At 37.6% G+C, this 22,624-nt stretch overlaps 1 annotated feature.

Moving 5' to 3' along the window:
* Window positions 14,244-14,383: a silencer, noted in NCBI's record as "fragment chr2:192510916-192511055 (GRCh37/hg19 assembly coordinates)". NCBI's record gives its function as "represses an EF-1alpha promoter that drives an FKBP-Casp9 reporter gene in an ReSE screen in phorbol 12-myristate 13-acetate-treated (for megakaryocytic differentiation) K562 erythroleukemia cells {active_cell/tissue: K562(+PMA)}" and the evidence as "EXISTENCE:reporter gene assay evidence [ECO:0000049][PMID:32094911]".

Here is a 22,624-nt window from a genome sequence, read left to right as displayed (position 1 = left end):
ATTCCCCTTGCCCTGACCTATTATCCGTCAAGGAATCTCATCACAAATACCATTTTCTAAGTACCATAATAACTGAGAACAACTATGAAGAAAAACCGATAACAGTTGCTGTGAAAATATGGCCAAATTGTAAGTTAACAGTTTAATATGCTGGATTTAAAATCACCACACAATGAATTTATAATTGGTATGAAGCTCTTAAGTAGATCTGATCATATCTAAAAAAAAACTGGTAAAAATGAGTTTCTGAACTTTGCCAGAATCAAAGATTAGGATTCTTATTGACCCAAAAAGACAGATAAATGAAGAATATCCAAGTTAAGAAAGTTAACCACCTTCTCAGTCTACATCATTTTATCAGTATGTTTCCTGCATTAAATTAGTTCAAAGAATACATAAACTTAATTGATGAAAAAGGTTTATATGCTTTTCATCAATTGTATTTGCACTGTGTTTCTTATTTGTTTTTATACCATGATAGAATAATAGGATGGAAAACTCTGAACTAAAATTGTGAATAATTCACAAAAAATTTTGGAATAGAAGATAGATAGTTTAAGTTAATTAGATTGGCCCTATGAACCAATAGTCTAATTTTCAAGGTAACATGGAAGAAGTAATTTTGGATGACTAGCAAAAAAATTAAAACAAAGAACGAAGCTGGAAATAGTTTAATTATAAAGAGGGAAAAAATTTTTAAACTGAATAATCTTTAAAAAGTAAAGAATTTCTTCTTAATTTGAAAATATAGAGAAATTGGTGACAATTAACACTTCTGGTTTTAGTCTCTTTTTATATAAATTTTTATTTAGGACAGCTTTAAATTTACAGAAAAAATGAAAGAGAATACAGAGTTCTCAATATACTCCTCATTCAGTTGCCCCTCCTATTAGTATCCTACATTAGTATGAAACATTTGTTATAACTAATGAACCAATACATTATTAACTAAAGGATTCCCTTAGTTTTTATTTAATGTCCTTTCTAGGTTGGTTTAGTTTACCCATTCCTGAACCAAGTAAACATTGGCAAGGAAAATGGAATTGCTGTGATTGACTTAATTAATCCAGGCCAACCACTAGCAACCCAACTATATGCCAGCTAACCTTAAGGGTGAAGTTTAATGGATGTTGACAAGTCAATCACCATATTCACTACCATGATTTTCTGATGAGGGATCTACTAAGATATACTATGGGGAAAAGAATCCTAATTAAGCAATCAGCTTTTCCTTATTATTCTCCAATAGGACACTCACAAATATAACTAATCATGAATAGCCAGAGATGTTCATGACACAATAATTGTTTGACATTTCTAGAGGGTATTTCTAGAAACTTTAAAAATTTCCAAGATTCAGAAAAACAGAAAAATTTTATATGATTTCTTGGTTTTCTTTCCATTCTATTGATAGACATGTTGTTTCCTATGCATAAATTTAAACCCCACAGATTACTTCCTTTTCTTTAAAAAAATTAATCTCATTTTTTAGAGAATAAAATGCATTCACAAGATTAAAAATTCAAAAGACCCAAGTATATATAGTGAGATTTCCCTGTACTACCTGTGTTCCCTAGTAATTTCCATTCCTCTCTACCACCAAGTTACCATTTTCTTGTGCATTCTTCCAGAGATAATTTGTGCAAATGTGTACATATGTATATATTCTTTCATCCACTTCTTTTTACAATGCTCTTCTTCACCTTGCTTTCTGTCTTTATATCTTATTGCTCTTTCCATAGTGATATTGAGAGAGCTTGCTCATTCTGTTTTATTTCTTCATGTTATTCCATTGATGGATTTACTGTAATTTATCCAATTAATCCCCCATTAATGAACATTTGAGTTATTTCCAATTTTTTGATATTATAAACTCTAAAAAGTGCTGCAATGTATAAGCTGAGACATATGTCATTTTACCCACGTTCCCAGGAGGATATCTATAGAACAAACTATTGCCTTTCCATCTCTCACCAAAATTTTATTTTCACTCCAAGAACAAGTTTTGCACTGGGTGAGAATACTCACAAAATAACTTGCACTAATCTTTGTTTGTTTAATATAAAAGACTCATTCAAGTCACAGATCAAAACCAACTTCATATTATATATTTCACACACTAATTTACACTAAAACTCTATTGTCTCACTAAGAACAATCACTTTCTTAGAGCTTTACTTGGATTACCAGAACTAGCAATTGGAGGACACATAACAAAATAATACCATTGACTGAATGTGAAACAAGTTGATAACAATACCAGGAAGATGAGACATGCCAGGAGGTTGCCTGGCCTTGCTTAGTAGCATGGCAACTTACTCACTGGCCTTGGGATCCTTTCAATTCAACTTGACAACTCAGCAAAGTCTCTAGGTTTGTGGCCCTCTCCAGGGAAACTTGTATACATCCAAAGTTTTGTAAAAATTTTCTGTCTGAGTTCTTAAAATTGTAATACTCAGGGTATTCCAGCTGGCTCCCATTAGCAAGGGTCAGGAAAGCTAAATGCATTCTTTTCTAGTTACCAGTCCAGGGCAGAAGCCAATGTGCTCTGAACAAGATCTGAATGTGGATTATACCATCACCTGGGACTTATCAATGAATGCTCCATTCAGTCAGTGCCCTCAGGAGCTCAGTAGTGGGACCCATAATGATAACATTATAATTAAAACACTAACATTTATTGAGCATTCACTATGTGCTCTGCTAACAGCTTTAAAAGCACTCTTTTCATGATTCTTTTTCACAATTCTAAAGTTGATTCATTTGCAGATTTAATCTAGAAATCTTTTTCATGATTCTAAATTTCAGTCATTTGTAGATGTATTACGAGGGTCTACAGGAAGCTCATCCCTTCCTCTTCCACTCTATAACCCAAAGTTAACCTTGATGTCAGACTCTCTCATTTCTTCTAAGGGTGACTAAAATGAAAATATCCCTGCAAGAGGGAACACAGTAAACAGACCAGTCTTTTACACATCGTTCTGATAAATTTTGTCATATTCTTTCCAGGATAAAATCTTCATGAGGAGAGGACAGGAAGAGCTCTGCAGATACGTTAGAAGGTGGGGACAGAGTACTGCTAAAAAGGGGGCACTTAAAGGCAAGGTTGATACACAGTAAAAGTTTAGTTGGCCTCAGAGTAGTATCTGGAATATAATCACCATTATTACCCATCTTCCAGTTATAAATCTCTGATATGAACATGTGGGAAAACAAAGGCCAGAATGGTTTTGTTTGATTCTCCAAAGTATTGATAATAATAACATTTAACTAATGGTTCATTAAGTAGTGGCATGCTCAAGGATCAGAAACTTCCAATCAATGCATTAGATAGCCTTCAGAAGTTGCATTTAGGTACTTATGAAGGGTGTTTGAGATTATCCCACTTTAAATATAATCAACTCTAAGATCAGTTTAATAGACATTTGCTTTTCAAAATTATTTTTTGGAGATTTTGATCCTGGGTCTTTAATCATTAGATATGAGTTATCACTTATCAAGACCTAAAACCACTCAGACTGAAGAAGATCTCTGCCCAGTTGCTGCAAGTGGTTGGCAAGTGGCATGGAATGCCTGAAGAAGTGGGTCACACAGTTAATTACACACAATTTAGCCAAGAGGTAGGCAAAAGGCAATCTCACTCTGTCTCTGATCTGTATCTAGTTTGAAACTTTATCATTGGCAGCAATTTGGTTTTTGTACCTTCTTTGCTTCCATGGGGCACTAGTTTGGGCTGTATCACTTATGGCCTCTCCTAGATGACTGAGTATACCTTGCTGAGTGAATGTCCAGGGCTGAGGGAGAAAAAAAAAGGCTGTGTGGTATCCCACTATAGCCCCTGAATATAGGCTCTAACCAGAAGCACACAACTGGGCTGTGATTACTATGGCCTCACCTTTATTTCCAGAGAATTACCCAGCAACATTACTGGAAATGAGCTGTCTTGTCCAGTCAGCTCCCATTCTCTCAGAAAGGTTAGAGCCCCATGAATTTCACAATCTTGCAGCTTCTTGGGAAATGCATTATGAATTTCCAAATCTCTTGTTCAGCCTTGATAAAATTCCCAAATGATTGCAAAAGTGAAAATAAAATCCAAAGCCATTTTGAACCTTGGTATTTACAAATAAGACAGAGAATAAAAATTACATGCAAGTAAACTGGACTTCATAATCATATTAACTTTTTGGCACTTAGTAGAATCCATAGTCTCTATATGGAAGGAATAAATATTGATAGTAATACAAGTTTAATCTTGTCCTCTATCTCAGTAATTTATGGGATGTTAGGACTGATAGGAGTTTAAATATCATCTACTCCATACCTTCATATCAAAAATTTGAGACTAGAGAGATTGTCACTCACTTATGGGCACTTAGCTTACATGGTAGAAAGAACACTCAGCTTAAATGAGAAAACTTGAACTTGAGTCCAAACCCTGACACTTTCTCCTTGTGACTTTCAGACAAGCCAGCAGGCCTCAATTTCTGTATTGGCAAATTGGAGTAATTTATGTACCAGGAAGGCTGGCTGTGAATGTTGCTTTGTTGGCGGAGGAACAGTGAAGTGACACCAAAAACTTGGAAATACATTGACTCTTAAAACTAGTAAAGTTCACAAAATAGATGAGAAAGCCACCTTCAGAAATTAATAATAAAATTGTCAATTTATGATGGAAGAGCAGTTTTTAAAACAAGTCTTTTTTCCTGATCAAATATTACTAAATTTTCATCTTACTTTTACAAATCTAGACAATAAAAACAAAGTGAGGATTGGCTTACTCATAATTCATAGTGAATATATCTCCAAATATATTCTGGAAGAATTGATCATCTACATACAGATAGGAACCTGTCTATCTGCTTTTGACACTCAGCAAGATATTGGTATAATCTTTCAACATATTTGAGAGCACACAGAATTCTAAGGAAAGTGAATTGGGTATAACATTTGGGAAGCTGATTTGATCTGAAATGTGATGTTAATTTGATAACCGGGGGAAAGACAGTGAATAAAATCAGTCAGATTGGCAAGAAGTAAAACAAAAAGGAAGCCCCAAAAGGCCAAAATGTAGACCAGGAATGGGTCAAGGCTTTACAGACTTTATTTTATTTAATCCTCTCAATCTCCCTAACATTATTATTCCCATTTTTCTAGGAGGAAACTGATCCTTAAATAAGTTAATTATCTAATATCATAAAACTAGTAAGTGTTAGGAATTGTATCTGTACCCCAGCAGTATACTTCCAGAGCCTGATTTTTTTAAATTATACTTTATTTTTGCTAAAGTTATACACACATATAATGTGAAGAATCAAATAGTTCCATAAGGTTTGTTTTGAAAACAACCATCTCTAGCTCCTGCCTTCCATTTCTCACCCCCTAGAGGCAACTAGTTTCACTCCCCACCCCACCCAGCTAATTTTTAAGGTCTTTCCCTCAATTTTGCTAGGTAATATGCTTGAATTGTTACTTTGTGGATTTCCCATTTTAGACATTCTCTATTGTTATCTCACTCTAGAAAGTGAGGAATTAGCAGTGTTTCTCCCTCATTCCCCACTCCCACCATGAGCACTTGCCTCTCTGCCCATTCTTCCAATATATTCATACTATGATTTTTATTATATCTAATAGTGAGTGTTGTTCACATTACTGTGAAGAGGCAAATGCTATTCATAGCTGATACCTGTAGATGACAGTGATCTTTTCTTTTCTACACAACCTCCTTTTTTCTTTCCTACACAATCTACTTTTTTTTTTTTTTTTTTTGACAGAGTCTCACTCTGTTGCCCAGGCTGGAGTGCAGTGGCACAATCTCAGCTTACTGCAATGCCCACCTCCCAGGTTTAAGTGATTCTCCTGCCTCAGCCTCCTGAGTAGCTGGGATTACAGGCACCCGCCACCACACCCAACTAATCTTTTGTATTTTTAGTAGAGATAGGGTTTCACTATGTTGGCCAGGCTGGTCCACCCACCCCAGCCTCCCAAAGTGCTGGGATTATAGGCATGAGCCACCGCGCCCGGCCTAGGGGATCCACTTTTGTCTTACTTTTTGGAAGTATTGTCTTAGTTATCTTATTGCTTTTCACTTAGTTTTCTTTGTATTTATTACTAATTCAAACTCCACCTCAATTGTAGAAATCTCCTTTTAATATATTCAAATGCATTAGGACTTAACAACTTCATCTTCTCAAGGAAATCTGACTTGCTTCTATCTGGATAAGATGCTCTTCAGCATTAAAAATCAAATATTTTTCTACAAGGTTTGCTTGGAAAACAACCATCCCTAGTTCCTATCTTCCATTTTTCATGCCCTAGAGGCAACTACTTTCTCCCCCACCCCGCCCAGCTGATGGAGGCTGCCTTCGTCATACTCCTGGGGACTCTCCTGGTCATTTCTAGTCTTGGATCTTGTTTCCTGATTCCTATGTCTTCCTCTTTCTCGGCTTGTTTCCTAGTGAAGAACATAACTCAGTAGCTTCTCGAAAAAGAGTGCAAAGGAAATAAATGTTTTGAGGCTTTATGCTATGATTTGACTGTGTCCCTCAAATTCACATGTTGGAAACCTAATCTTCAAATTTATATGCTGATGGTATTTGGAGGTGGGGCCTTTGGGTGGTAATTAGGGTTAGATAAGGTCATCAGGATGGAGCCCCCATGATGGGAGTGGTGGCTTTATAAAAAGAGGAAGAGAGACCTGAGCTGACATGCTTTTGCCCTACTGCTATGTGATGTTCTTGTCATGCTGTGATGCAGCAAGAAGGCCCTCACCAGATACGAGTGCTGTGCTTTTGTATTTCCCAGCCTCCAGAATCATGAGCTAAATAAAACTTTATTTTTTATAAATTACTCAGTCTATAGTATTTACTCATAGCAATAGAAAATGGACTAAGACACCTTATAAATTTGAAAATATCTTCAGTCTACACAATACTCTTTCAAGGTGTAGAAGTCTCTTCCTGTGAATTTTGAAAGCACTGCTCTTTTAGATTTAGGTGTTGCTATTGAGAAGACAGATGACACTCTGATTCTTCATTTTATATATTAAACCTGTTTTATTCTGGAAGTTTGTAGTCTCATCTTTTTGTCCCTCTTGTGCTGAATGTTTAAATTCTTTAGTACAAATTTACACAGTGACTACTATGTGCCAGGCACTATTCTAGGTATTGAGGATATATCAATGACAGTTTTATGATGATACTCTCAGGTGAACATAAATTTCTCCCCATCATTCTGGTAGTTGGTGAGCCCTTCAACCTGAAAACTGAGATTGTAAGATTTCAATGTTACAAATTTTTGATAATTTCCTACCCTCTGTTCTCTTCTTTTAGTAATACTATTATTACATGTTGGATCATCAGGACTGATCCTCTAATTTTCATACAGCCTTTCTCCTCAATTATCCTTATTAGCCTTTTTGTTCTACTTCCTAGGAGATTTCTTTATCTTTTATCTCTTACATTAAACGTCTTATTTTTAATGTCATATTTTTAACATTTAGGTTTCTTTTGAGCTCACTGAATATTCCTTTTATAGATAATCCTGTTATTTTATATATTTTCTTATTGTTCTGTTGGCAGAGCTTGTTTCCTTCAAGTTGTTTTCTTCTGTTTGTTTGGTTTGGTTTGGTCTCTATCTTTTGTTAATAGGATTTCCTCAAATATCTAGTGATTCCTAGCTGTCTAGTTTTATTTTAAGAATGAAGCATTGAAAAGAGGATGTTTTGTATGCATGAGGGGACTCTCCATTGGGTTTGCTACAGGATGATGTGACATAGGCCAACATACTGGGCCACTGTCAGTGTCTTTTCTTTCAGGTTGATAAGATTGCCCAGACAATATTTCCAGCCTTCTGCTAAGAAAACATAAGCCTGGCTAACGGTGTTCTGGGAGCTAAGTGAAGGAAAAAGATTGAGGAAGTTTCAGTATACAACTTATAAATACATACTTAATCCCCAGCCTGCAATATTGTAGCCTACATCCTTTCCTGGTAACCCCAGTCCAGAGTCCCTGTATTTGTTCTTGGCACCAAAAGAAGAGGCAGTCTCCCACCTGAAAAGAATAGGAATGGGGAATTCGGTATCCATCAGCTTCTTACAAAGAGGTCTCACCAAATCCCATGTTTAAGCACCACCCTCATTCCTAGTTCCTAAGATATCTGTGCTTCTTTTTTTAAAAAAAAAAAAAAAAGAAAAAGACAAAACAAAAAAAAAAACAGGTCTCTCTATGTTGCCCAGGCTGAAATGCAGTGGCTCTACATAGGTGTGATCAAAAGCACTGCAGCCTTGAACTCCTAAGCTCAAGTGATCTTTCCACCTCAGCCGCCTAAGAAGTTGGGACTACAAGCATGCAACACCACACCCAGCTATGTGATCCAATTTGGGGGGTTCTATAATGTAAGCTGGGTTGGTTATCGTCAAGCTGAAGATTCAGCTTTTTTGGTTGTCTTAATTCAGTTACTACTTGTCTGTCTGCTTCCCAGTTTCTAAAGTTTTATTGCTGTTGTCTCCTATCTCATTCCCTTTGTCCTTGTGCATTTATGTTTTGTTAACAATTATTTCATTGTTCTCTCAACTGGGTTCAGAAGGAAAGAGATTCGAATGTATGTGTTCAGTCTAACATCCCAGATCCTGCGCTATTATTACTCTCTATGTTATAAGAAAGTTGGCAATGTTTATTCTAACTCTTCTAGAAAGACAGGTACTAAAACTAACAAACACAAATGCAGTCACTAAAGAAATATGTTGACCACAGTTTGGTTGAAACATCCATCAAGACCTCCATCATTTTTTTTTTTGTTTTGATTCTGTGCTTACCAGAAATCTTCTAATTATATGAAACTCAAAATGTCCAAAGTAAAATTGTTAATCTTGCATTCAAACTCTGGATGCTACAGTGTTCTCTTATTACCATGTAATAAGATGGTCACTATCCTTTTAATTACTCATATCAGAAATGTAGGAGTCATTCTAACACCTTCTTCTTCAGCCTCTTTATCTACCCATCACTAAGTTCTGTCATGAATGTTTATGACACGTTTACTTCTTTTCATCTCTACTATGAAGATCCTAGTCCAAGTTACTAGCACGTCTCTCCTAGACTTTTACCATTGCCTCCTAACTGATCTCTTTCAGCAACTCACTGGCCCATTCCCCAAACTGCAGTCATAGACACCTTTGCAAAATACAAGCCAGATCATATTCTACACAACCTGCCTAAAATCTCTAAGTTTCCTATGAATAAGAGTGACAATCATTAGCAAGGCCTGTAAAAGCCTGCAGGGATTGGCCTTATTCCTTCTCTGGTTTTATCTAGTGGTTCTCCTCCCCTGGTGTCAGCTCCCTAGTCGGGCTGCCTTTCTTTCTGATCCTCTTTTTGTCTGAAACTCTTTCCCCCTAAAAGCCCCTTCAGGCAGAACAGCTCTCTTCTACAGCTGCTCCCAATGTCTAACTGCCCTGTTCATTGGCCCTGGTTATTGCTTAGTCAATCCTTAGGTTTCTGTTCAGTGTCACTTCCTCAGGGAAACCTAGTGAGGTCATTCTTCTTTTGAATTTACACATACAGAAACATGCTTCATTTCTTTATAGCATTTGTCTCACTTATTAATTAGGCCCTCTTTTTATGTCTATTTGATTAATATCTGCCTCTCCCACCACACTATAAGCAATATGAAAGCAAGGAATACATGTATTATTTCTCACTACTGTATTCTCAGGACTTGAGTAATTGCTGATTTTCCCTTTTAGAGTTGGTTTAAAAAAATATATCTTGGATGAAGTCTTCTTTAAATTCAGAAAAATTTGAATATACTATCATCAGCCTTTCTTTTCATGATTCATGGTCTTTGTTATTTTTTAAATGCTGTAATACAGCCTATTTCTTAGTCTTTTGAGTGTATAGGGATGTCCACTACTATGTTAAATAACCTCAGACCAATTGTCCAGGGATAAAATTAGATAACTCTAAAGTTTTCAAAGGAGAATTTTAGTTCTTTAATGCTCAGCAGAAGACAACTGACGGGTTCAATTACTACCTTCAAATATAGGAAGTATTTAATAACTATATATATATATATAGTAAAATATATATATAGTAAAATATATATGTATATAGTATATAGCAAAATATTTGGCATACAAGGTAAGATTGGAGAATAAAGAACATTCAAAAAAACCCAACAATTATTATTGTTATTATTACCATTATGGAGTACTTATCACCTATCAGTAGTAAGTAAGAGCTTTAAATGCATTACCCCATTTAATCCTCACAGCAACACCCTGAGGTAGCTAACTGGTAGTATAATATTTCCATTTTACCAATGAGGAAATTCAGGCAGGTTAAGAAAGTGGTTAAGAAGCCATAGGCCCAAGTGATTGAGTTGGCATTCTTACCCCAGGCAGTCTGGCTCCAGAACCTGTTGGCTTAATCCCTTTCATGAAAATGCGGATAAGCAATTTTTTTCAAGAAAGCAGATAGTTTCACCAAAGAAAAATAATTTTAAATTTGAGAGAACCTTCATCTGGACACAAGAAAGAACAATTTAGAAGCATTGAACATTGGCGTAAACTACTTTTAAAAATAAGTTATATGTCTGTTTTAATTAACTATGAAAAATAGAATGGACCAGGCATATAGGCCAGAAGAGTCAGTCAATCAAATCTTTAAAGATGAGGCAGGGATCCAATGATCTTTTGACATCACTTCCAGGTCTCCAACCCTGAGACTGAGTTATCCTTTGTTTCTAACCTTTTCCCTGGGTGAAAGTTTGTCTAATGCCGTCAACTTTGTTTTATCCCAGGTTAGCTTATCCAGGGCAAATCTTGCTTTATTGAGTTTGGTAGTCACTTTGCTTAATGACTTGCTGCATTAACAACTTGGCATTCTCTTCACTCGCAGTCAGCACCTACCCAGCTTAATTACTTGCTTTGTTGACATTATGCTGTCTTCAGGGAAACACTTTAAAATCCAAAAGTTAATGTCTTAGTCCTTGTGTGCTGCTATAACAGAGTGCCTGAGAGTGGGTAATTTATAATAAACAGGAATTAAATGGTTCACAGTTCTGGAAGATGGGAAATCACAGTTCAAAGGGCCAGCATCTGGCAAGGGTCTTTTATTATATCATTCCATGGTGGAAGGGCAAAGAGAGGGTGAGAAAGAGACAGGAGGCCAAAGTTATCCTTTTATAAGAAACCCATTCCTCTGATAATAAACCCACTCCTGTGATAATGGCATTAATCCATTCATGAGGAGAGAGCCCTCCTGGCCTTATCACCTCTCATTAGGCCTCACCACTCAACACTGTTGTATTGGGGGTCAAGTTTTCAACTCTTGAACTTTAGGGGGCACATTCAAATCATAGCACTTAACCACCTCTACTTTTTTTTTTTTTTTGAAATGGAGTTTCACTCTTGTTGCCCAGGCTGGAGTGCAATGGCATGATCTCAGCTTACCGCAACCTCCGCCTCCCAGGTTCAAGTGATTCTCCTGCCTAAGCCTCCTGAGTAGCTGGGATTACAGGCATGTGCCACCACACCCGGCTAATTTTGTATTTTTAGTAGAGATGGGGTTTCTACATGTTGGTCAGGCTGGTCTTGAACTCCTGACCTCAGGTGATCCACTCACCTCGGACTCCCAAAGTGCTGGGATTACAGGCATGAGCCACCACACCTGGCCAACCACCTCCACTCTTAATACCATTCCATCCCTTCCTGACCCAAGTATAAGATCATAAATGATACTAAGGAGAAAGATACAGGAAAAAAAATTAAAGAAGTTAACATGATTGTCATGAGGGTTTTGATGAACTAAAAAAATATGAAAAAGATGAAAGAAGACACTACAGCTCAATAAATCAGAAAGGCAAGAGCCTATAGGAATAGTGTTAGTAAGACTAAATTATGGTTTAGAATTACCATGAGGCCTACTTAAAATATGATAAAGATGCTTTAAAGAAATGGATAATATTTTTAAACACAACAAGAATCCAACTTTGGCCAAGCACAGTAGCTCACACCTGTAATCCCAGCACTTTGGGAGGCCGAGGCAGGTGGATCACTTGAGCTCAGGAGTTCAAAACCGGCCTGGGCAACACAGTGAAACTCCATCTCTGCAAAAAGTCCAAAAATTAGTTGGGCATGGTGGCTTGTGCCTGTAGTCCCAGCTACATGGGAAGCCGAAGCAGAAGGGTCACTTGAGCCTGAAAAACAGAGGTTGCAGTGAGCAGAGATCACGCCATTGCACTCCAGCCTGGGCAACAGAGGGAGACCCTGTCTCAAAAAAAAAAAACAGAATCCAACTTTATAGGCTAATGATGTATGTGTGTGTGTGTGTGTGTGTGTGTGTGTGTGTGTGTGTGTTGGTAATAGTGTGTGTAGAGGAAAATATGCTAGAATTGGGATCCCTCCATCTCTTCCCTGGACTTTCCAAGGAGCTACTGCTGACTCAGACCCTGCTCCAGGGAGGCCTTTACACTGTAATCTCCATGCAAGGGCCATTGTCCTCACCATGTAGTGGGCTGCAGGCCTTAGATGACTCATACTTGCTTTTGGAGAATACTTGTCCAAAGGCCTTAAAACCTTAAAATCTGTGTGCTCAACCTCACCAAATGCCATTATGTCTCCCTGTCTTAACTTAAAAAAAAACCTCCCCTATTCCTCCCTCTACTGTATTATTAGAAGAAGATGGGGAATAAAGGATGAATTGTATATCTATTTAGACTCTAGGCAACTTATCTGCAGGAATGCCTTTGGTTTAGATAACTATAAAAAACTCCTACAGTAAGGAGTTTAATCTGTTTTGTGGAATTTGAGACCAAAATGTCAGAAACACTTCCATACATCAGCCTAAGCATGGGCTTCTGTAATGTTTTCATAAAAGAGAGCACTTGATATATATAACCAGTTAGCAATTTTGATAGGACAATGCCAGTGGCCCAAAATGACCAGTGACTCTCCCATATGTTAAGATGCATGTGAATATGATTGACATTATCATTCTCAAAATACACTAAAACCCCAATAGCCTTTGGAATTATTAGTTCAATGTCTGTTTTATCGCCAAGTTCACTGCAGGCTTTGTCCGTTCAATAAGATGAATAGTGTCCTGAGAACAATAGCATGCAATACCCTGCTCCTCCCACTTTTACACCTGTAATCCTTCCTCAGACTATAATCTTGTATGAGGTCAAGGGGGTTTTGACTCTCTTTTCACTGTTGCATTTCCAGTATTTCACAGAATCCCTGTCACAAAGTAAATGCTCAATAAATAGGTGGATAAATAAAACAATACATTAATGACTTAGGAATGAGTGTTTTCTTACCTTTCTCAGGACCCTAAGAACATCATTTAAGCCTTTTGCTCCCAAATCTGTCTGTACTTCAGGATCACCTAGGGAGCTTTTTAAAGAACAGAAATTAGAGCCAGGCATAGTGGCTCACACCTGTAGTCCCAGCTACTTGGGAGGCTGAGGCAGGAGGATAGCTTGAGCAAAGGGAGTTTGAGGCTGTAGTGCACCACGATTTCACCTGTAAATATCCACTGCACTCCAGCCCAGGCAACATAATGAGACCCGGTCTCTAAAAATAGTTCAAAAACTAAAACAAAACAAAACCCAGGTTTGGTCCTCACCTTCAAGCACTGCAAATAGTAGTTTACAAAGCTCTTTCAAGTGGTGTGATGTGCTGCTAAATTTGAGAGGCAACAATTTAACCTATCTAGCCTCGGTTTTCTCATCTGGAAAACAGTTGGCCGACGCCCTCACAGAATGTCATTAAAATCAAATGCAATAAAATGCAAAGTACTCTGGCAAAGAAGAGACCGTGTATGACTGTGCAAGATAGGACAAGAATGGACAACAACCAAATAAATAGCCTGCCAGAGAGAACAAACACACAATTTCGCAACCCAAGTGCTTCTCTGTGGCACATACATAACTCAACAAATTCTAAGATTTGAATAGGATCTGAATGTTTTCTGAACAAATCAACTCCTCACCTCTTTGTCTATGAATCTCCCATATGTATCTTCTGTTTAACTTGGAAACAAAGCACCTATTTAAAAAAAAAAAAAGTATGGGGAAGTTATTGGAAAGACTGAATTGTTTTGGGAAAGACCATTCATTCATTCCTCATTTTATTTCTTTGTGCTCAACATTCATAATTAGTCATTTCAACCTCATGTTTAATCTCCAAACTTGCATCAACACAAGTGCTCTGACTGGATTCCCTGGATCCCCTTTATTGTTTCTGTGTGCTTATCTCCCAATCTCCCAGCTTCCGCACACTCAGCTCCTAACCTAACTCACCAGTCCCCTTCTTCAGAGATCTACCCTTGGGCTACAGGACACCATTAGACAGGATGCACTGAGGGCCAGAAGTGGGGTGGGGCAGAGTTGATGTCCCACCCCTCACCCCAAGGCAGCAGGTAGTCAACCCCAGAATTATAGAGGAGTATGAAAACCCAGATTATTTGCCTTGATGCAGAATAAACTATGCAGTGTCAATTACACTCCAGAGCTCCCATGGAATTAGACTGAGAATGAAACCTCATCTGCAATCGGACCCTTTCTTGGCTTCTTCCTCTTCCTATTCTACTTCCCCAACTCCCTTACTGGTTTCTCACTTAAGAACTTCCTTAATAATTATTTGCCCACAAATCTTCATCTTAAGATCTTCCTCATAACTTCTTCATCCTCCTTAACCCCAGATATTATACTTTTTTAAAACTTCATTTACATTTGTCTGATTACTGAGATGGAGTGTGTATCTATGTGTCCATAATAGTTAAGTCAGTTGATTTCTTCTTTTGTGGTCTCACATCCTTGGCTCATCTCGTTAATTCAGATTAGGTATTTTTATGTGTAATTTACATACAGGAAAGTAAACATATTTTAATTATATAGCTCAACAAATTTTTACATATGTACACACCCATGTAACCAACACCCAGATCAAGATATAAAACACTTCCAGCACACTAAGGCTCCCCAGTCCTCTTCCCAGTTAGCAGTAACCACCTCCAAGTGATCACTATTCTAATTTCTATTGGTATAGATAAATTTAGCCTGTTTTATAGGCTTATAAATGAAAACATCCTGTACATACTCTTGTGTCAAGCTTCTCTCATTCAACATTATGTTTGGGAAATTTATCCAGGTTGCATGTATAGTTCATTCTTTTTCATTTCTGTGTGGTTTTCCATTGCATGAGTATACCACAATTTATTTATCCATTTTACTGTTGATGGAAATGTGGGTTTTTTGCAATACGGAGCTTTTATAAAGAAGGCAGCTATGAATATTCTTTACAAGTCTTTAGGCAGATGTAAGTAGTCATTTCTGGATGTATACTTAGAACTGATGTTGCTGGGTCATAGGTTATAGATTCTTTGGTTTGATTGGTGGTATAGCAAACATAGTAACTCTGTCATATTTGTATAAGTTTCTTCCCAATTGACTGCTTGTCTTTTTAATAATAGAAATCTTCTTTTTTCCCAAGTTTTATTGCAGTATAATTTTCACATATAAAATTCACCCTTTTTAAATGTAAAGTTTCCAGCAATACCATTTGACCCCGCAATACCATTACTGGGTATATACCCACAGGATTATAAATCATTCTACTATAAAGACACATGCACACATATGTTTATTGTGGCACTATTCACAATAGCAAAGACTTCAACCAACCCAAATGCCCATCTATGATAGACTGGATAAAGAAAATGTGGCACATATACACCATGGAATACTATGCAGTCATAAAAAAGGGTGAGTTCATGTCCTTTGCAGGACACGGATGAAGCTGGAAACCATCATTCTCAGCAAACTAACCCAGGCACAGAAAACCAAACACTGAATGTTCTCACTCATAAGTGGGAGCTGGACAATGAGAACACATGGACACAGGGAGGGGAATATCACACACCAGGGCCTGTCGAGGGTTGCGGGGCTAGGGGAAGGATAGCATTGGGAGAAATACCTAATGTAAATGACTGGTTGATGGGTGCAACAAACCACCATGGCACGTGTATACCTATGTAACAAACCTGCACATGTATCCCAGAACTTAAAGTATAATGAAAAAAAATTGACTAGGATTATAGTCATTTAACCACCACCAAATCAAGATAAAGAACATTGCCATCACCCTGGCCGGAAGCAGTGGCTCACACCTGTAATCCCAGCACTTTGGGAGGCTGAAACAGGGGGACCACTTGAGGTCAGGAGTTCGAGACCAGCCTGGCCAACATGGTGAAACCTCGTCTCTACTAAAAACACAAAAAAATTAGCCAGGGACGGTAGCACACGCCTATAGTCCCAGCTACTCAGGAGGCCAAGGCAGGAGAATCACTTGAACCCTGGAGGTGCAGGTTGCAGTGAGCCAAGATCACGCCACTGCACTCCAACCTCGGCAACAGAGCGAGACTCCATCTCAAAAAAAAAAAAAATTAAACAAAACAAAATAAAACACAGCTTTACCTGTTTATTCTTTAAGATAAACTCTAGAATTATTCCAGAAAGTGTCATAAAAATGACCGTTGTCTTCTCTGAAAACACAGATATGTAATAAATCACAAGTCCTAGCTCTTGAGTTGGACCGGTCAGCCTAGGAATCCCAGTCACTTACTTGCTGGATAACATTAGGCAAGCTGCTATCCTCTCTGATAATCAGTTTCCTCTCCTGTAACATGATTATAATAATGGTGCCTGCGTCATGGGGTTATAAGAAATGGTGAACATAACTAATATAAATGAGGGCTTGCCATTTGCCCAGCACTATACTAAACACTTTGTAGTGACGTATTTAAATCTCACAACAATCCTGTGAAGTATGTATTTTCCCTGTCCTGGTTTTATAGATGCAGAAACTGGAGCACAGGGAAGTTAAGTAAATTGCCTGAGGCCTGAGTTGGGCTCACGAGCAGTGTGCCAGCTACTACAGGGCTTCTCTGCTTCATAGATAAGGAGGTGACACAGGGGAGCATGGAGCACTGAGCCTAGCATGAAGAATGCGGAAAGGGTAACTTTTATTGTCATCGTTCATCTTCTTTATGTTCTCAATAAAGCTGTATAATTGTCTTCATTTAGGTCATGCGCATTTCTTGTTAAGGCTAGTCATAAATATTTCATGCCCTTTTGTACTATTGTGCATGGGGTGTCTCTTTTTCCTATTATGTTTTCTCATTGGTTTTTTGGGGATGCAGCAAAAGCTATTGACTTGTTTACATTGAGTAGCTAAAAGAAAACATTAGTGGCACATTAGTACCATTTAAAATTCCCCGCCAAACAGCAATTTTAATTATGTATGCTCTTTTAATATCAAATGAGGTTAGTAGATAGATAATGAGAAAAAAATGGAGGTTAGAAATAACATTTTAGAATTTTTTCACCCTTGGTCAAAGAGGAATAAAGAGAGAAAAGAATAGAAAAAATTAATACACTCATCTAAGAATAGTACCCAAAAAGCCACAGCATATTACACCTCTCCCCAGAAAAACTTTTTGCTCAATTTTCTTTTATATGTGATATCTTAAAATAATATTTACAGTTTAAATCAGCTAAATAAAAATTTTAAGTTCTTCTCACCATTAGAAGAATTATGAGATAAGCAAATATTTCTTCCTGTTTAGATGTTCATGTTTTATTGTTCTTGTTAATCTAATCAAGAAAAAATAACTATTTCTTTTGAAAACTTGATTTCTTTTAAATAGCCAGACTTTGTACTTATTGAGGGAAAAAAACTCTGGCAATATATTCAAAGGTTTTGACCTTTGTATAGTAGATATATTTGAAAGTTAATATGTCAACACTTTTAAGAACATTGTAGTGCCAGCCAAGATATGACTGTGTCAAAGTAACATAATGACTGATCTATCAGTCAGATATAGAAAAGATCTATCAGTCTTTTCTAATGGAAAAAGATGCTTCATTCAAAGTTTAAAAGTAGAATAACTTGAGGAGGGTTAATCAAAGGACTGTTTATAAAAGGTTCGGAAGTACAGAACTACAAGGGATGGTGCAGTACACTGGGATCGGTGTCAATGAAACTGCTGCTGCACCAGACCAAAAGGCAGGGGTGGAGGAGTAGTGGAAGGCCTTCAGACAAAGCCATGTTATGAAGATCCCAAAGGACAATCAGATTCAAATCCAACATGTGAAGCCTAATGTGCACTCAAAGGAGGCCCACTTACAGCACAAGAAAGGATGGTGTCTCCTTAGAGTTACTCCATCTATGGCTCTTGACATTTAATTTTATTAAACAGAAGAAAACTAGTTAATGTATTAATTAAGACTTTGGGTTTGCAAATGACAAACACCTAACTAAAACTCACTTAAACAAAGAAAGAAAAGGTGTATGATCACCACTCAGAAATTCAGGAGTGCATCTGGCTTCATATGTTGCTGGATTCAGAGGCTCAAACAATTTTAAGTGGAGAACACTTATTCCCCGTTTTCTTTCTCAGGATGAGCAAGCATGAACAGAACCCTCGCACCTTCTCTCAGTGTGCTCATTTATTTCTCCCAAAGGTAGGAAGAGTGATCTGGGTCTGCAGGTGTGTTGGCATAGAAGAGACAAGAGGGGGCTAAGATCTAGCAGAAACTCAGCTCACCAAACTGTGAGCCATGGCTTGGGAGAGTTATCCAACTGGGGGTTTGGGAAAGAAACTGGCATCTGGGTATGGTTCAGCTCTTCCAGTGCCCTTCATTCTGTCTGATCAGTTTGTCTGTCTTATCATCTGCCTTCCTGGTGCTAAGCAGTCCACAATGGAGGACAAGGTCCAAAGATTCCAGCCATGCCAATGGCCGGTTGTGTTAAGGAGAACTAAGTAGAAGCATGAACTAAGATGAACTAAGGAGCAGAGTTTTAGAAAATTCTTTTGGGCAGCAATCCAAAGCCATGAGCTCAATCAGCTTCTCAATCATAAAACTATTTCTTTTCCAATTACCTAGCCTGCATTTATCTCTAAATTTGTTCTGAATTTAGGTAAAATAAGGTATTATATTTGGACCCCTAAAAATCCCATCAATGGTGTAATCAGAATACTTTTTTACTCTTTCTACCTGTCAAATGTTTTCCTCTCTAAGCTTCATTCCCAAGCAGATTCTTCTCATTTGGGGGTAAAGATGGCAAAAGGAATTTGTAGGTTTACACTGATCTTGAAGCTCACAATTTCTGTAAAAAGAGAGTGATGCATAATAACTCCAGCAAATGTCATAGGGAAATTTTGTATTGGTTCAGCTTGGGTGACATGTCTATCCTTGGACAAGCATGGAGTACACTGATTGGCCATGTATGGATGACTTGGCTACTGTAGTTGCTGGAGAATGAACCAGCCTCACCTGAGGCATAGGGGCTTAGAGTGAGGAAAGGGACCACACTTAATGTGCAGATTGAGCACACAGAACTGGCTTAGTCTCAGTAGATTGCTAAGAGAGTTGAAATGCTTTAATTTTGTTTCCTCCATATCAGTGATTATTAACCTTGGCCACACACTGGAATCATGTGAGAACACACTACTGCAGACCAATTAAATCAGGAAAGCTCTTGGGGATCAGCTGTTTTACAGTCCTAAGGTGTTGCTGATGTACATGCAAGGTTGGCAAACATTATCTTAAGTAGCATCATAATTGATTAGTCTGGGGCCAATTAAGGATAACATTGATCATCTTCCATCACTAGCTTTAACCTGTTATTCAAAGAAGGAAGTCTGATGGTAGAGGGAGACTCTGGGAAGATGGAAGTAACAGTAACATAGCTTTTGAATCTTTCTGTATTTTACATAAAAACATACAGAACAATGAAATAGTAAACCCAAATTCCCATGAACAACATATGCAACTAAACTGGCTATAAGATAGCCCTCCAAACCACAAAATAAAAGCAGGTAGGGGCAAACCACAGACGGTGTCCATCAGGTAAATGAAGAGGGAAGTAACTAGGTGTCTGAAAGATGTGAGACAAAGTGACCCACAAAAGAGCAGACCTGAGAACAGCAGCTCCCTTGCAGGATGGGGCCCACCCAGAGGAGTAACTGCAGGAAGTGGAATCAAATTGAGAAGAGAGGGCCAATAAAAAACCAGGGAAAGAGGTCACACCAAAGTGGGGAAGGGAACAGAGTAATGAATTCACAAAATAGTCAACTCCAAAATATGGAATATAAAACACTAAACTTTCAAAAATGATTACCTCTGGCAGTAAAATTTCTGAAATATTTCATTTAAAATTTATATACTTCTTGTGATTTAATACTTTTCTCCCAGGAAGCATATATTGCTGTAACATTGGACATGTATTTGTAACATCTATCATATGCATGTTATATATGTAACATACACATATTACAAAAGACATACATATATATATATATATATATATATATACACACACACACACACACACACACACAGAGAAAATAGTAAGACACAGTATTCAAAAACATGGTTATGAGCTACCTTATATATCCAGAAGGCAGTGCAGGTTGGACCGATTTGGAGGTCACCAAAGTCAAACCCTATATATCTTGTGAACCCAAACCAGCTACTGAAGAAGAAAAATGTAACTTTTCAAGAAAGATTGTATGAAAAACAGAAGCTGCTGGTGTCTTAACCTTCACAGTATTGTCCAGACATTGTGAAGGCAATAAATAGTAATTATGTGAATGAACGAATGAATGAATAAATGAATATAGAATGTCAAAAAAGTTTAAGTCTGTTTTCAAAAAAATCAACCTGAAAAATCAAGTAAGCATCAGGAGAATTAAAAAAATATATTAATTTTTTTTGGCCGGGCATGGTGGCTCACACCTGTAATCCCAGCACTTTGGGAGACCGAGGCAGGCGGATCACGAGGTCATGAGATCGAGACCATCCTGGCTAACACGGTGAAACCTCATCTCTACTAAAAAAAATACAAAACAAATTAATTTTTTTTAGAATTTAGAATGGGAGAACACTACAGTGTTGAAGTAACTCATTATAATAGAGTTGCCTGAATAAGTAACTCTAAAATTGGGTCACGATCTTTTCACTTCTGTTGACAAACATGTGAGACACTCCATGAACATATATAATTTCTCACCATCCTCCATGTATGATTCCAGTTTTCTCTCTTCCTGAAAACAACATATCATAATGCAGATGAGAGAATCTTCAGTCTCTTCTATTTAAAACATGAAAGAAAATCTGGAAAAAATTCAGTACAACTATTATCGGTAAATATGTAGAGGTGCCATAGGAATGAACCTATGTTTGCCTGGTGACCCAGCAGGTCCTCATTCCGTGTCCTCAGGCAAATTACTTTGCACCTCTAAGCCTCATTTTTCATAGGCTTAATAATTGTACCCATGCTATTGTGGCAATAAAATGAAATAATGAATGTGGAGTGTTTAGGACAATGCCAACAAAATGTTATCTAACAACAATAGTAATTTACCAGTAAGATAATCCTAGCATGTATGGCAGTATCCTAGCATGAAGAAAACAAAAATGCCATTGAAAACTACTAAACTAAAGAGCCTTAAGTTTCATTCTTAGTAAAAGTATTTAATTCTCTCTCTGTTTCCCTCATGTAGTACTCTGGTTAACAGATCACTTATTCATTTTAAAAAGTTATGAGTAGCTACCATGTGTAAGATACATACGCATTTGTTGGTAATTAGAAACTGTATTGGGCTTTTCCTTTTATTTAGCTGTTATTTGCATATTAAAGTTTCAGGGTACTTCTCAAATGAAGGGTGATTTTAAAACCAAAGTAACACTTCTCTGTTGGGTGGGGCCTGTCCAGATAGCTCATCTTCCACATATGAGCCTTGGAAGATTCTGGGCAGACTTCTGATGGGCTGGGCAGGAGGAGCTATCCTAACCCTTGGGGCGGGGCTGTGTGGGACCACAGATTCACCAGCTGATTGCAGAAAGCCCTTGTTTTTTGAGTTATCCATGCCCCGTGGACTTGGTAAGCTTTACTCCCTGGTGTCACCAGAGTATACCAGCTACCTGGTTCCTGCTGCATGCTTGCAAATAACTTGGTTCCAGTGATTTCTCACGGAGGTGACTAAATCAATTGGTAGGCTTAGTGTTTGTGTATACAAAGACTTAGAACCTGTTTTGCGTGTGCGATTTTAGTTTCTGTGATCTTTCCAGTCATTATCGTCTACAAGCTGTTGGCCCTGAGAATTATTTACATTTTAATTAGGAGTGCTCAACCCCCTCTATGAGTAGAGTCAAGCAGCTTATTTACTTCCTACTGGCAGGCTTCTGAGGAAACAGCTTAGGCAAACTTGCTGAGCCATTGAGCCAAAATAAAGTCACTTGCAGAAGAGCAACACCATGTCCTCACTTCTTAGCTTTGCTTCTCTGCTGGGGCTTCTCATGGGGACCAAAACTGAAGTGAGCTGCTCTATGCAGCAATCAAACTACTGCCTCATTTTTTTTTTCTTCCCTTTTCTCTGGATGAAGCAAACTTTTTAATAGGTTTCATTTGCATATATAATTAGCACTCATTTTTTTAGCATAGCCAGGGAGTGAGTTTGTTCTCCACGTGCCTTTTCAGATAAGCTTATCCTTTTAATCACTTAAGCTTTTCCTTGTTTACAAAGAAATATTTTTACATACTATTCAGCCTCATTCC

The sequence above is a fragment of the Homo sapiens genome, chromosome 2, assembly GCF_000001405.40.
Source record: "Homo sapiens chromosome 2, GRCh38.p14 Primary Assembly".
NCBI classification, from domain to species: domain Eukaryota; kingdom Metazoa; phylum Chordata; class Mammalia; order Primates; family Hominidae; genus Homo; species Homo sapiens.
Note: the sequence above shows the minus strand (reverse complement) of the source record. Positions and strands in the feature narration are given on the sequence as shown.